At 38.6% G+C, this 17277-nt stretch overlaps 1 protein-coding gene across 22 annotated transcripts in view; it reads right to left on the bottom strand.

The window, feature by feature from the left end:
- Positions 1 to 17277, bottom strand: part of DOCK3 (dedicator of cytokinesis 3) — a 709272-nt gene that overhangs the window by 226756 nt on the left and 465239 nt on the right. For all 22 annotated transcript variants that reach the window (XM_005264914.4, NM_004947.5, XM_006713010.4 and 19 more), the window contains exon 10: positions 10813 to 10894. In XM_005264914.4, coding sequence (XP_005264971.1) covers positions 10813 to 10894 — 82 coding nt within the window. The remainder of the gene's footprint in view (positions 1 to 10812; positions 10895 to 17277) is intronic.

Below are 17277 nucleotides of genomic sequence, written 5' to 3'. Positions count from 1 at the left end.
GAAACCCCATCTCTACTAAAAATACAAAAATTAGCAGGGTGTGGCGGCACGCACTTGTAATCCCAGCTACTCGGGAGGCTGAAGCAGGAGAATGGCTTGAACCTGGGAGGTGGAGGCTGCAGTGAGCCCAGATTGTGCCACTGTACTCCAGTGACAGAGAGACTCCGTCTCAAAAAAAAAAGTAATATGTAGTGGTGAAACTGAAGCTTTTAGATGGTTATAATATTTTGTCAAGTTCTTAAAATAATAAAGTATGTTTATAATGAAACAGGTTACAAAATAAACATAAATTGATATCTGGAATCACAAAGATATATTTTTACATGAAAGTTGTGTTTGATATTGAAAAAGGATGTTTCAGGCCCCATTTCACTAATTCTTTTAAACATGGAATTAAAAATAATATTATTAAAATAGTGCTATATTTTGATACTTATTAAGATGGTACTATCCAAGTGAAAATTGAAAACCAGGTTACCATTTTTATATACTTTTTTGAATTGAAAGATGTTGATTACTGAAGGATATAGAAATGTTCAACACATTTCAAAGTGAAATGGTTCCTCCTACACAGCCTGGATTGTGTACATCCAAACTATCAAATGACTCGTATAATCACTGACTCCAATGTACCTATGGAATTCAAGCTAAATGTTTCCCTTGACTCTGCTGAGTGAATAAAAGAAGCCTTAAGTATAATTTATGGTATTTTTCAAGTGGCTGAGTAGGGGCTCTTTCTGACAATCATGTACACAGCATCCAGAACTTTCAGTGGAATTTATTTGACATCAATAGAAATAAGACAATAATTAGTGCAAGAAAATATTTTAAGCAAAATTATTATTTGTGAGTTCCACAGAATTTCAATATAAAAGCTATCTTATTAAATATAGGTGTATGACTAAACACAGTTACCATAAGGTTTGTTAAACATATATTCTTCAAGACTAAGCACCAAGGGTGGTTATCTACATTATATTACTCACATGACCTGTAAAAGAAAGATAAGAAGGGTGATGTATCTACCATTCATCTGGTGAGCAGGATTTCAGTCCTGATTACATGGCAGGAATTAGATTTGTTCACTGGACCAAACTCTCTAATCCTACTTAACTAGGAAGCTGCTCCCAACTAAACAGTGTGTAGAAGAGACAATTGAGGACAATGACTTAGGGTCGAGCATCTTAGACTCACTCATCTGAAACACGAAAAAGTTAATTAACTTCCCTGTGCCTGGGACACTCCTTTTTTTTGGGAGATAATGGGATTTTCAAATACAAAATAAAACCAGCTTATTCATACGTAAGTTGCAGAAAATAAGGTAGTATTTTAATACATAATGTTATTATAGTAATAATCAAGTTCAATTCTGAACTCTAAAAAATCACTACTTAAAATTCTATCTTGGAATGTAGAAGAGTATAAATAAATATATAAAATAAAATGACAACTAATACTTGGAAAACTGTACAAATTCATTCTCTGAGTTGGTCACTTAAATATGACAGCAAATAAACATTTATTCATTTGTTTATGTAACAAATCATTACTGACACCTTGCCGGCAGTGTGTATGAGGTCCTGAATATCTAAAAATGAGTAAATACGAATAGATATACTTTCACACATTTGTATATAGAGCCATTGTTTAGCATGAAAGTCAGCAAAATCCTCATTGTATTGGCCGTCCACGTAAGTATAAAACATATTCTCCTTGGATAAAATTCTTCCTTGGTAGGAAACCCTAAAATCTAACCAAGTCAGAAAAACTAAGGCCTCAAAGAGAATAAAGGCCATGCCAAATAATGTGACTTTAATGTGGCTCTGAAGTGTGCTGAGTAACCTCGTAATCTGCTCAGTTTGTATGATTCCCTTTTCCCTATTCTAAGGTAAGCTAAAAGGTCAGCATCAACCATAGTTGTGGCTACATTTTCTTGCATTTACTCTGAGACTTTGCAGCACACACATCAATCTAGGAAACTCCTTTAGCTCATAGGAAGAACTCAAGTCTCAGATAATGAGAAAACAGGTCCCACCTATATAATTTCATAGAGCTTAAAGTAAAACATAAAAATCCTGGCTAAGATAATCTTGTTCAGAAATCTTGTGTGCTTTGTAAAAAATCCTCAAATCATGTTTCGGACCTTTTTAAAAAATCCAGGGCAGGGCTGGGCTGGGTACAGTGACTCATACCTGTAATCCCAGCACTTTGGGAGGCCAAGGTGGGAGGGTTGTTTGAGGCCAGCAGTTCAAGACCAGCCTGGGCAAAATAGCAAGACGCCATCTCTTAAAAAAAAAAAATTAGCCAAGCATGGTGTGCGCCTATAGCCCCACTACTCAGGAGACCGAGGCAGGAGGATTGCTTAGAGCCCAAAGGTTCAAGGTTTTTATGTGAGCTATGATCAGGCCACTGCACTGAAGCCTGGGCCACAGAGTGAGACCCTGACTGCAAAAATAAAAAATAAAAAATAAATAAATTCAGGGCTGCACTACAAACAGAATTATGGAAGTATTAATAGCATATTTAGCACCCTGTGCCTTCCCATTGTGGCAGAACAAGAGCACATCATGCATGTTATGTGCAATAAAGTTGGAGCTATAGCTTTGGCCTCTGGGCTCATATGGATAATTAAAATGCTAAATGAAAATTTTAATTTACTGTAATTACATTCAAATGCCACCCTAATTAAGTTCATTTTTAAAAAGTCAAAGACTGTACTCATCATATTCAAGAATTCAAAGACAGTACATGCACGCAGCTCTGTTCCCACAAATCCAAGAAACAAGGAATCAACAATTTCTCCTGATGCTTTACCAGGAAATATCAGAGAATCAGAATTTAGAAAAACCTCCTAAGGTTACTGAGACATTCTAGAAGGTGGGTGTCTCTTACTAATTCTGTTTCAGAAAGGAGGTCCTACAAAACCACCTCAGTGTTCAGGAACTCTCACTTCAGAAGCTCTCAGCCAATAGACTAACCTAAATCCCATTTACTACAATTTAGATTCTTTCTTTCATTCTTTTCCAATTGAAGACAGAGTGCTGATCTTCCCAGACTAAGCCATCTTAACTCCCTTAACCGCCATCATGGGTCTGCTCTTCCTGTTCTTTCTCCTTGCATTATCTCCTAAGCCTTTACTGCTAAGCTCAAAGATGGACAACATATTATTTAAGCTTAGCTAGATTTATAAATCTTTCCATACATCTGGAGCATTATCAATAAAAGCTATCCCTGTGAAAGTGGTTTCTGATTCTGCAGTAACATCATTTGATGTTCTGAAAGATAAAGTTGCAGTAATGAACTAAAAAGTGAGGTGAACAAATATAACTGCAGCTTTTATAGAAAGTCATGTATCAGATCTCCAGATAAATCCCATTTGCATTTAAGAGGCCCAATGTAATCTTTGCGATATCTGTCCCATCAATCACACACCATAAGCAAGGTCAGTGACACTGTGAAACTATCCAATAGGTTTTGATGTATCTCAGGATCACTGAAACAGATCAAAGAATCCACAATAATCAAAACTGGTTGAAAATTGTGACACAGTCTTGTTTTCTTCTACAGCAAATAAATTAACTCAAATAAATACCACTGGATAGTTTTTAACAAGGTAAAAACAAATTAGTAAATCAGAATAAACTTGAAGAACACACATGGCAAGGTGGGATTGTGAGGTTTGGTATTTTCCAATCAGCAGATTTCCAAACCTTTTCTAAGTTGATTGGTCCATGGTTGTACAGACCATGAACAACAGTATGGCTTTTCAGAAAAAACTGAAGTACAGAAACAAGGGGATTCTGTTCCAAGATAGCCGAATAGGAACAGCTCCGGTCTGCAGCTCCCAGCATGATCGACGCAGAAGATGGTGATTTCTGCATTTCCAACTAAGGTACCTGGTTCATCTCATTGGGACTGGTTGGACAGTGGGTGCAGCCCAAGGAGGGCAAGCCGAAGCAGTGTGGGGCATCGCTTCACCTGGGAAGTGCAATGGGTCGGGGGATTTCCCTTTCTTAGCCAAGGGAAGCCATGACAGACTGTACCTGGAAAATCGGGACACTCTCGCCCAAATACTGCACTTTTACAACGGTCTTAGCAAATGGCACACCAGGAGATTACATCCTGTGCCTGGGATATCCTGGACGGGTCCCATGCCCACAGAGCCTTGCTCAGTGCTAGTGCAGCAGTCTAAGATCGACCTGCGAGGCAGCAGCGTAGCGGGCAAGGGGCACCTGCCATTGCTGAGGCTTGAGTAGGTAAACAAAGCGGCTGGGGAAGCTCCAACGGGCAGAGCCCACCACAGCTCTGCAAGGCCTGCTGCCTCTGTAGACCCCACCTAGGCGGGCAGGGCATAGCTGAACAAAAGGCAGCAGAAACTTCTGCAGACTTAAACGTCCCTGTCTGACAGCACTGAAGAGAGCAGTGGTTCTCCCTGCACAGTGTTTGAGCTCTGAGAATGGACAGACTGCCTCCTCAAGTGGGTCCCTGACCCTCGTGTAGCCTAACTGGGAGACACCTCCCAGTAGGGGCTGACTACCACCTCATACAGGTGGGTGCCCCTCTGAGATGAAGCCTCCAGAGGAAGGATCAGGCAGCAATATTTGCTGTTTTGCAGCCTCCGCTGGTGATACTCAGGCAAACAGGGTCTGGAATGGACCTCCAGCAAACTCCAACAGACCTGCAGCAGAGGGACTTGACTGTTAGAAGGAAAACTAACAAACAGAAGGGAATAGCATCAACATCAACAAAAAGGACATCAACACCAAAACCCCATCTGTAGATCACCAGCATAAAATACCAAAGTTAGATAAAACCACAAAGATGGGGAGAAGCCAGAGCAGAAAAGCTGAAAATTCTAAAAACCAGAGCACCTCTTCTCCTCCAAAGGACTGCAGGTCCTCACCAGCAATGGAACAAAGCAGGACGGAGAATGACTTTGATGAGTTGACAGAAGTAGGCTTCAGAAGGTCAGTAATAACAAACTTCTCCGAGCTAAAGGAGGATCTTCAAACCCATCTCAAAGAAGCTAAAAACTTTGAAAAAAGATTTGATGAATGGCTAACTAGAATACACAGTGTAGAGAAGACCTTAAATGACCTGATGGAGCTGAAAACCATGGCTCGAGAGCTACATGACACATGCACAAGCTTCAATAGCCAATTTGATCAAGTGGAAGAAAAGGTATCAGTGATTGAAGATAAAATTAATGAAATAAAGTGAGAAGAGAAGTTTAGAGAAAAAAAAAGTAAAAATAAACAAAGCCTCCAAGAAATATGGGACTATGTGAAAAGACCAAATCTACGTCTGATTGGTGTACCTGAAAGTGACGGGGAGAATGGAACCAAGCTGGAAAACACTCTGCAGGATATTATCCAGGAGAACTTCCCCAACCTAGCAAGGCAGGCCAACATTCAAATTCAGGAAATACAGAGAATGCCACAAAGATACTCCTTGAGAAGAGCAACTCCAAGACACATAATTGTCAGATTCACCAAAGTTGAAATGAAGGAAAAAATGTTAAGGGCAGCGAGAGAGAAAAGTCAGGTTACCCACAAAGGGAAGCCCATCAGACTAACAGTGGATCTATTGGCAGAAACTCTATAAGCAGAAGACAGTGGGGGCCACTACTGAACATTCTTAAAGAAACGAATTTTCAACCCAGAATTTCATATGCAGCCAAACTAAGCTACATAAGTGAAGGAGAAATAAAATCCTTTACAGACAAGCAAATGCTGAGAGACTTTGTCACCACCAGGCCTGCCTTACAAGAGCTCCTGAAGGAAGCACTAAACATGGAAAGGAACAACTGGTACCAGCCACTGCAAAAACATGCCAAATTGTAAAGACAATCGATGCTAGCAAGAAACTGCATCAACTAATGGGCAACATAACCAGCTAACATCAAAATGACAAGATCAAATATCTACCTATAACCTTCTGTCTCATTGATCTGTCTAATATTGACAGTGGGGTGTTTTTATCTACCTTTGGTCTTTGATGCTGGTGACCTACAGATAGGGTTTTGGTGTGGATGTCCTTTTGGTTGATGTTGATGCTCTTCCTTTCTGTTTGTTAGTTTTCCTTTTAACAGTCAGGTCCCTCAGGTCACACATAACAATATTGACCTTAAATGTAAATGGGCTAAATGCCCCAATTAAAAGACACAGACTGGCAAACTGGATAAAGAGTCAAGACCCATCATTGTGGTGTATTCAGGAGACCCATCTTATGTGCAGAGACATACATAGGCTCAAAATAAAGGGATGGAGGAAGATCTACCAAGCAAATGGAAAGCAAAAAAAAAAAGCAGGGGTTGCGATCCTAGTCTCTGATAAGGCAGACTTTAAGCCAATAAAGATCAAAAGAGACAAAGAAGGGCATTACATAATGGTAAATGAATCAATTCAACAAGAAGAGCTAAGGAGCACCAAGATTCATAAAGCAAGTCCTTAGAGACCTACAAAGAGACTTAGACTCCCACACAATAATAATGGGAGACTTTAACACCCCACTGTCAACATTAGACAGATCAACGAGACAGAAGGCTAACAAGGACATCCAGGAATTGAACTCAGCTCTGCACCAAGTGGACCAAATAGACATCTACAGAACTCTCCACCCCAAATCAACAGAATATACATTCTTCTCAGCACCACATCACACTTATTCCAAAATTGAACACATAGTTGGAAGTAAAGCACTCCTCAGCAAATGTAAAAGAACAGAAATCACAATAAACTGTCTCTCAGACCACAGTGCAATCAAATTAGAACTCAGGATTAAGAAGCTCACTCAAAACTGCTCAACTACATGGAAACTGAACAATCTGCTCCTGAATGACTACTGGGTTAATAACTAAATGAAGGCAGAAATAAAGATATTCTTTGAAACCAATGAGAATGAAGACACAACGTACCAGAATCTCTGGGACACATTCAAAGCAGTGTGTAGAGGGAAATGTATAGCACTAAATGCCCACAAGAGAAAGCAGGAAAGATCTAAAATTGACACCCTAACATCACAATTAAAAGAACTAGAGAAGCAAGAGCAAACACATTTAAAAGCTAGCAGAAGGCAAGAAATAACTGAGATCAGAGCAGAACTGAAAGAGACAGAGACACAAAAAACCCTTCAAAAAATCAATGAATCCAGGAGCTGTTTTTTTGAAAAGATCAACAAAATTGATAAACCGCTAGCAAGACTAATAAAGAAAAGAGAGAAGAAACAAATAGACATAATAAAAAATGAAAAAGGGGATATCGTCACCGATCCTACAGAAATACAAACTACCATCAGAGAATACTATAAACACCTCTACACAAATAAACTAGAAAATCTAGAAGAAATGGATAAATTCCTGGACACATACACCCTCCCAAGACTAAACCAGGAAGAAGTTGAATCCCTGAATAGACCAATAACAGGTTCTAAAATTGAGGCAATAATTAATTGCCTCCCAACCAAAAAAAGTCCAGGACTGACGGGTTCACAGCTGAATTCTACCAGAGGTACAAAGAGGAGCTGGTACCATTCCTTCTGAAACTATTCCAATTAACAGAAAAAGAGGGAATCCTCCCTAACTCATTTTATGAGGCCAGCATCATCCTGATACCAAAGCCTGGCAGAGACACAACAACAAAAAAGATTTTTAGACCAATATCCCTGATGAACGTCGATGCAAAAATCCTCAATAAAATACTGGCAAACCGAATCCAGCAGCACATGAAAAAGCCTATCCACCACGATCAAGTTGGCTTCATCCCTGGGATGCAAGGCTGGTTCAACATACACAAATCAATAAATGTAATCCAGCATATAAACAGAACCAATGACAAAAACCACATGATTATCTCAATAGATGCAGAAAAGGCCTTTGACGAAATTCAATAGCCCTTCATGCTAAAAATTCTCAATAAACTAGGTATTGATGGAACGTATCTCAAAATAATAGGAGCTATTTAGGACAAACCCACAGCCAATATCGTACTGAATGGGCAAAAATTGGAAGCATTCCCATTGAAAACTGGCACAAGACAGGGATGCCCTCTCTCACCACTCCTATTCAACATAGTGTTGGAAGTTCTGGTCAGGGCAATCAGGCAAGAGAAAGAAATAAAGGGTACTGAATTAGGAAAAGAGGAAGTCAAATTGTCCCTGTTTGCAGATGACATGATTGTATATTTAGAAAACCCCATTATCTCAGCCCAAAATCTCCTTAAGCTGATAAGCAACTTCAGCAAAGTTTCAGGACACAAAATCAATGTGCAAAAATCACAAGCATTCCTCTACACCAATAACAGACAGAGAGCCAAATCATGAGTGAACTCCCATTCACAATTGCTACAAAGAGAATAAAATACCTAGGAATCCAACTTACAAGGGATGTGAAGGACCTCTTCAAGGAGAATTACAAACCACTGCTCAACGAAATAAAAGAGGACACAAACAAATGGAAGAATATTCCATGCTCATGGATAGGAAGAATCAGTATCGTGAAAATGGCCGTATTGCCCAAGGTAATTTATAGATTCAATGCCATCCCCATCAAGCTACCAATGACTTTCTTCACAGAATTGGAAAAAACTACTTTAAAGTTCATATGGAACCAAAAAAGAGCCCACATTGCCAAGACAATCCTAAGCCAAAAGAACAAAGCTGGAGGCATCACATTACCTGACTTCAAACTATACTACAAGGCTACAGTAACCAAAACAGCATGGTACTGGTACCAAAACAGAGGTATAGACCAATGGAACAGAACAGAGGTCTCAGAAATAACACCACACATCTAGAACCATCTGATCTTTGACAAACCTGACAAAAACAAGAAATGGGGAAAGGATTCCCTATGTAATAAATGGTGCTGGGAAAACTGGCTAGCCATATGTAGAAAACTGAAACTGGATCCCTTCCTTACACCTTATACAAAAATTAATTCAAGATGGATTAAGGACTTAAATGTTGGACCTAAAACCATAAAAATCCTAGAAGAAAACCCAGGCAGTACCATTCAGGACATAGGCATTGGCAAGGACTTCATGACTAAAACACCAAAAGCAATGGCAACAAAAGCCAAAATTGACAAATGGGATCTAATTAAACTAAAGAGCTTCTGCACAGCAAAAGAAACTGCCATCAGAGTGAACAGGCAACCTACAGAATGGGAGAACATTTTTGCAATTTACCCATCTGACAAAGGGCTAATATCCAGAATCTACAAAGAAATTAAACAAATTTACAAGAGTAAAAACAAAGAATCCCATCAAAAAGTTGGCAAAGGATATGAGCAGACACTTCTCAAAAGAAGACATTTATGCAGCTAAGAGACACATGAAAAAATGCTCATCATCACTGGTCATCAGAGAAATGCAAATCAAAATCACAATGAGATACCATCTCACGCCAGTTAGAATGGCAATCATTAAAAAGTCAGGAAGCAACAGGTGCTGGAGAGGATGTGGAGAAATAGGAACGCTTTTACACTGTTGATGGGAGTGTAAACTAGTTCAACCATTGTGGAAGATAGTGTGGCGATTCCTCAAGGATCTAGAACTAGAAATACCATTTGACCCTGTGATCCCATTACTGGGTATATACCCAAAGGATTATAAATCATGCTACTATTAAGACACATGGAGATGTATGTTTATTGAGGCGCTATTCACAATAGCAAAGACTTAGAACCAACCCAAATGTCCACCAATTACAGACTGGATTAAGAAAATGTGGCACATATACACCATGGAATACTATTCAGCCATAAAAAAGGATGATTTCATGTCCTTTGCAGGCACATGGATGAAGCTGGAAACCATCACTCTAAGCAAACTATCACAAGGACAGAAAACCAAACACTGCATGTTCTCACTGATAGGTGGGACTTGAACATTGAGAACTCTTGGACATAGGGCAGGGAACATCACACATGGGGGCCTGTTGTGGTGTGGGGTCAGGGGGAGGGATAGCATTAGGAGAAATACTTAATGTAAATCACGAGTTAATGGGTACAGCAAACCAACATGGCACATGTATACCTATGTAACAAACCTGCATGTTGTGTACATGTACCCTAGAACTTAAAGTATATATATAAAGAAAAGTACAGATCACAGTAGGAAAAAATCCCCCAATTAGTATTTGGAAGAGGACTATTTAGTTTGTCTTGCTGTATATGAACTCACTAACAAACTACAAAGCTGTAAACTTGGTGGATACCTTTAAAATAAATTATGCATCAGAAATTATACAGCTCAGAGAAATTCCCAGTGGCCTTGGATAAGAACAGTAAGAAAGACCTATGTCATATTTTTTTTTGTTTTTTTTTTGAGACAGGGTCTGGTCTCACTTTTTCACCTAGGCTGGAGTACAGTGGTGCAACCTTGGCTCACTGCAGCTTCAACCTCCTGGGCTCAGGCGGTCCTCTTGCCTCACATCCCCAAGTAGCTGTGACTACAGACACACGCCACATGCCCAGCTAATTTTTGAATTGTTTCTACAGATTGGGTTTTGGCATGTTGTCCAGGCTGGTTCTGTCAGATTTTAAGTGTCTATTATATGAAATAGCTTATAAAATCTGTATCAGTGAAAGGTACTTGATTATATTTCATTAATAAAAATTAAGTTTAAAACTGTATATAATTTCAGTTTTCTATAAATATTTCATTAAAACCTAATAGAAACATAAATCAAGTCCTATTCTCCCCAGTGTATATGGAAATAAGACTAAATGCTTGTTTCCAGGGTGACAGTATCCACATAGCAGGCCACTGGTTAGAGTCAACAGCAAAGAAGAAAAAGAGAATTCGTACATACTGTAAAAAGGGCACACATTCGTTCTATCTTCTCTGGGTTCCTCGGCCCACCATTCTTGTTCAGTCTTACCAGAAACCGCTCACTGAAATGTAGGAAAGAAAGATATAGAGAAATGTGAGTAACACACTCCAGAACAAAGAAAAAGGGCAGATACGGAAAAACACTAAACATATTTACATAACAGCTTGCAGTGACAAGCAAGGCCAAAAACACACGTCTAGTGGCAGGACACCCTCTTTTTTCCTGCCAAGTAACATACAAAGGAAACTACAAACTGCCTGATAGGTGCTTCTGTTTATTTGCTGATTGTAGCTGTGTGTTTTATCTGTTTGAAGGTGTGTGCTCCCTGAGGGCAGCAAGGAGTACTGTATCTTATATTTCTCCCAGATATTCCCAAAACAACAGCATGATGCGAAATCCATAACAAGCATATACATTCTTTGATGTGAGCACTCAGATCATCATAAAACCTTCATCATATTAGAGCTGAAAGAATCTACATTACCAAATTTACATCTTCTATATCAGAAGTCCCCAACCCTGGGCTGCAGACTGCTACGGGCCTGTGGCCTGTGAGGAACTGGGCCGCACAGCAGGTGAGCAGCAGGTGGACAAGCATTACCACCTGAGCTCTGCCTCCTGTCAGATCAGCAGCGGCATTAGATTTTCACAGGCGCACAAACCCTATTGTGAACTTCACAATATTGTGGAGGGATATAGGTTGTATGCTCCTTATGAGAATTTAACTAATGCCTGATGATCTAAGGTAGAACAGCTTCATCCCAAAACCATCCCACACCACCACCTCCACCCATCAGTCTATGGAAAAATTGGCTTCCATGAAATTGGTCACTGGTGCCAAAAACATTGGGGAGTGCTGTTTTATATAACTCTTGAGAATCACTTTAGGGCAGCAGTGTCCAATCTTTTGGCTACCCTGGGTCGCATTGGAAGAAGAAGAACTGTCTTGGGCCACACATAAAATACACTAACACTAATGGTAGCTGATGAGCTAAAAAATAAAAATAAAAATAAAAAAAATCTCACGATGTTTTAAGAAAGTTTACGAATTTGTGTTGGGCTGCATTCAAAGCCATCGTGGGCTGCATGCAGCCTGTGGACCACAGGTTGGACAAGCTTGCTTTAGGTCTTAAAAAATGTTACAGCTCATAGGTGGGAATAGAACAATGAGAACACATGGACACAGGAAGGGGAACATCACACTCCAGGGACTGGTGTGGGGTAGGCGGAGTGGGGAGGGATAGCATTAGGAGATATACCTAATGCTAAATAACGAGTTAATGGGTGCAGCACACCAACATGGCACATGTATACATATGTAACAAACCTGCACATTGTGCACATGTACCCTAAAAGTTAAAGTATAATAATAATAATAATAAAAAGAGATCCAGACAGAAAAAAAATGTTACAGCAACTTATAAAAATTTTGGTGGAAATTCAAAAAGAAATGATGTGTTATAGCTAAAGCTACAATCAGAATTTAATAGAGCCATTAAATACTTTATTCTCCAAATAATATACGTAATTTCAGGAGGAAATTACAATTATTGGACTAGAAAACCTTAGAAACAGTGTTTGCAACATTTGGAGAAATGTCTCTTTACTCTCGCATCTCCTTCCTGCCCCTGCGCAGAATCTCATTCCCACCTCTTTATCCGAAGATTTACTACCAACTGTAAAGGAAAACTGTGCCATGGTGAAGACAAAGCATGTGATTCCAAAAGTAACTTACTTATTTTGTGCCTCTGGTCATGTACTCATGGAATATATGTAGTATCAGTTTAGTTTGTTCGTGTATTCATTTGGTCCGTCTACAAATTGTTATTAAGTTCTGTGTGCTTGGCATGTGAATATAAATGTGAACAAGACATATACAAGGTACTTTTTCCTCATACAGCTATGGTCCTGGTAGGCAGTTAGACATGCAGAAATGAATCTCAGAAAGATTTGGGTCAGATATAAATTTGAGATTCTTCAGCCAGGGGAACAAATGGGAATAAGCAGGGAACATGCAAAGAACAAAGAGAAAAGGGGCTTTGGTCAGATTGCTGAGGGACAATGACATCTAAGAAACGGGTAAAAGAAAAACTATCAAAGTAGATGCATGGGGCAAATGGAAAAACAGAAGAAAAATATGAAGGATGGTGAGATGTTGCACTGGTCAAGTGAAGAAAGTGTCTGAAAGAGGAGGGAGGGGTCAACAAGGTCCAAGACCATTGAGAGTCACATGTAACAAGGACAAAACTCTCGAACACAGATCACTGGTGATTCTGGCAAGAACTGTTTTAATGAAATGGTAGAGAAAGATGCCAGTGTGAGGAGTAGGAAAGAAATGATGAAGCACAGTCTAGACCACACTTTAAAGAATGGTTGTGAAGAGGTGGAAGTGATGCATTTTTAGTTAAATGGGCATGTGGGGTTGAGGGAGTCTTTGTTAAAATATGGGATAACCCACATACACATAGTCAATTAATTTCAAATAAAGGTATCAAGGGGGGGTGTATAGTACGTTCAGCAAATGGTGCTGAACAATCCATATGAAAAAAACTAAGCCTTGACCCTTGCTTATAAAAATTAACTTGAATGTATCACAGGCTCGAATACAAGAGCTAAAACTGTGAAAGAAGACAACTCAGTGAAAAATGAAGACAAGTATCTTGTATATCTTGTTCACATTTGTTTCCACATTTAGCACATAGTAGAAAACTTTCTGTCGCCCCAGATTATTAAGCAAATATCACAAATCACAACAAAATGATAAATTAGACTTTACATAAATTAAAAGCTTTCTTTTTAAAAGATACTGGTGAGAAAATGAAAGGACAAGCTACAGACTGAGAGAAAATAATCACAAAACATTCACCTAAGAAAAAATTGGATTGAGAACATACAAAATGTCCAATAAGAATAAACATTCAAATAAAAAATGGACACAAGATTTGAACAGACCCTTCACCAAAGGATGTGCAGAGATGGCAAATAAGCACAAGAAAATATCATTAACCATTAGAGAAATGCAAATTAAAAACACAGTGAGGGCTGGGTGTGGTGGCTCACACTTGTAATCCCAGCACTTTGGGAGGATGAGGCAGGTAGATCTCCTGAGGTCAGGAGTTTGAGACCAGTCTGGCCAACATAGTGAAACCCTGTCTCTACTAAAAATACAAAAATTAGCCAGGCATAGTGGCGGGTGCCTGTAATCCCAGCTACTCAGGAGGCTGAGACAGAAGAATCGCTTGAACCCAGGGGGCGGAGGCTACAGTGGGCCTAGATCGCCCCACTGCACTCCAGCCTGGGCAAAAGAGCAAAACTCCATCACACACACACACACACATAAAAAAAAAAAACAGAAAACAAAAACCACAGTGAGATACCACCACACACCTACTAGAATAGCTATAACTAAAGAATGAATATACCAGCCGGGCACGGTGGCTCACGCCTGTAATCCCAGCACTTTGAGAGGCCGAGGCAGGCAGATCACATGAGGTCAGGAGTTCGAGACCAGCCTGGCCAACATGGTGAAACCTCGTCTCTACTAAAAACACAAAAATTAGCTGGGCATGGTGGCCTGTGCCTGTAATCCTAGCTGCTCGGGAGGCTGAGGCAGGAGAATCACTTGAACCCGGGAGGCAGAGGTTGCAGTGAGCCGAGATTGTACCATTGCACTCCAGCCCGGGCAACAAGAGAGAAACTCCGTCTCAAAAAAAAAAGAAGAATGAATATACCAAAGGTTGGTAAGAATGTCAAGTAACTAGAACTAAATCTCTCATAAACTGTTGGTAAGAATGCAAAATGGTACATCCACTTTGGAAAACAGCTTGACAGTTTCTTATATACATACTAAATGACCCAGTAATTCTCCTCCTATGTGTTTACTCAGGAGAAATGAAAAAATTTACCCAAAGATCTATATATAAATATTTATAGCAGCATTATCCACAATGGCCAAAACATGTAAGAACCCAAATATCCATCAGGGGGATAAATGAATAATCTACATAGTAGAGTATCATTTCACAATTTTAAAAAACAAACTACTGGGATGTATAATAATATGGATGAATCTCAAAAGCATTATACTAAATGAAAAAACTCAATGAAAAAAGGCCATAGGCTCTATGTCTCCATTTATGTTGCATTCTGGAAAAGACAAAACTATAGGAACAGAAATCAAATCAGTTGCTAGGGCTGGGGAAGAAGGGTAGGGACTGACTGCAAAGGTACATGAGGGAACTTTTTGAGAGTGATGAAATGTTCTATTTCTTGACTGTGGTGATGGTTTCACAACTATATACATTTGTCAGGACTCACTGAACTATGCATTAAAAAGGGTGAATTTTACTGTGTATAAATTACATTTAAAAAACCTGACTCAAAAAAAGATGGGATACACCTAAGAAAATTTATATCTAATGGGACAAGGCTTATAGAAGGAGAACTACTGAAGACACAGGATATAACTGGCAAAGGAAAATCACTGAGTAGGTGAAGAGGGATAGAATCCAGGAAAGAGTGAAGAAGGAAACAATAGGTGTAGATACAAATAAGCTGTGGTTTTAGTAACAGTGTAGATACAAATAAGTTGTGAGTTTTATCACAGACAGGAAATAAAAAACAGTAAAGTAAAAAAAAAAAAAACCACTTCCAAAAATAACAGAAAAAAATTCTCAAGACCATTTAAGAGAAAATGTAATGGGGAAAGGTAGAAAAGACAGCTGTGACACAGACAAGTGAAAAAGTGGCAAAAACATAGAGTCAAGACAATTGTCTTCCCAAAGTATCTTCAATCTTTATAAAGCTTGCCATCTCCTTTGCTGCCACTAGTCTTGGCCATTACTTGACTAACTTGGATTATTCTAACAGCTTCCCAGCTCTACTTCCGTTTTTGCCTCTCTAAAAGCCATTCTTGGAGAGACTGATCCTTTTAAAATACGAATCAGATCATATCTTTTCCCAGCTTAAAACCTTTTCATGCTGTCAACTGATTTTTTACAAGGGTGTTAAGACAACTCAGTGGAGAAAAGAATAGTATTTCAACAAACAGTGTTGGGACAACTAGATATTCACATGCAAAGGAATGAAGCTGGACCTTTATTTCACACCATATGTAAAAATTAAGTAAAAATGAATCATAGATCTACATATAAGAGCTAAAACTACAAAATTCTTAGTAGAAAATATAGGTATACATCTTTATTATAACTGCTGTGATGATTACTAAGTGACATGTATGTAAAATGCCAACTGCTATGTAATAGGGCTTCAATAAATTATACCCCTTAGGAACTGTCAAAAAAAAAAAAACTCTCCAGGAAATTATGTGAGTTTCAAAAATCTGACTTTTAATTTAAACTAAGTTAATCTGACTGGATTAAAATATTGGCACCACTTGTTATTAAAAAAAAAAAAAAGAAAGAAAATATAGGTATAAATTCTCATGACCTTGAATTAAGTAATGGTTTCTTAGGTAGGAAGGACACCAACAGCACAAGCAACAACAAAAAAAGGGACTTCATTACAGTAAAAAACTATTGTGCATCAAAAGACACCATCAACAAAGCAACAAACAAGCCACAGAATGGGCAAAAATATTTATAAATCATATACAGATAAGGGACTTGTACCTATAATATATAAAGTTCTCTTAAAATTCAATAATAAAAAGACAATTCAAAAGTGGGTAACTTGAATAGATATTTCTCCAAAGAAAATACACAAATGGCAAATAAACACATGAAAAGATGTTCGGCATCATTAGTAATCAGGGAATTGCAAATCAAAAGCACAATGAGGGTACCACGTCACACCTCTAGAATGGCTTTATTCAAAATGATAGATAATCATAAGTGCTGACAAGGAAATGGAGAAATTGGAACCATCATACACAGCTGATGGGAATGCAAAATGGTACTGCCACTTTGGAAAAACAGTCTGGAAATTCCTCAAAAGGTTAGCATAGAAACCATATGACCCAGAAATTCTACTCCTAGGTATATATCCAAGAGAAATAAAAACATATGGTCACACAAAAATTTGTACATGAATGTTCATAGCATTATTAATAATAGCCAGAAGGTGAAAACAACCAAAATATCCACTGACAAGTGGATAAATAAAATGTGGTAGATATAGCCAAATAACAAAATATTATTCAGCCATAAAAGTAATGAAGTACTGACACATACTAAAATGTTGATGAACCTTGAAAACAATATTCTAAGTAATGGAAGCCAATCACATAAGACCACACACTGTATGATTCCATTTTTATGATACGTCTACAATAGGCAAATCTACAGAGACTGAAAATAGATTAGTGTTTGCCTAGGGCTGGGGGTCTGGAGGAAATGGAGTGACTATTAAATGGTATGGGATTTCTTTTTGAGTTGATGATACTGTTGTAAGATGGACTGTGGAAATGGTTGCATAACTCTAACA

Source organism: Homo sapiens, chromosome 3, assembly GCF_000001405.40.
Source record: "Homo sapiens chromosome 3, GRCh38.p14 Primary Assembly".
NCBI lineage: Eukaryota > Metazoa > Chordata > Mammalia > Primates > Hominidae > Homo > Homo sapiens.
Note: the sequence above shows the minus strand (reverse complement) of the source record. Positions and strands in the feature narration are given on the sequence as shown.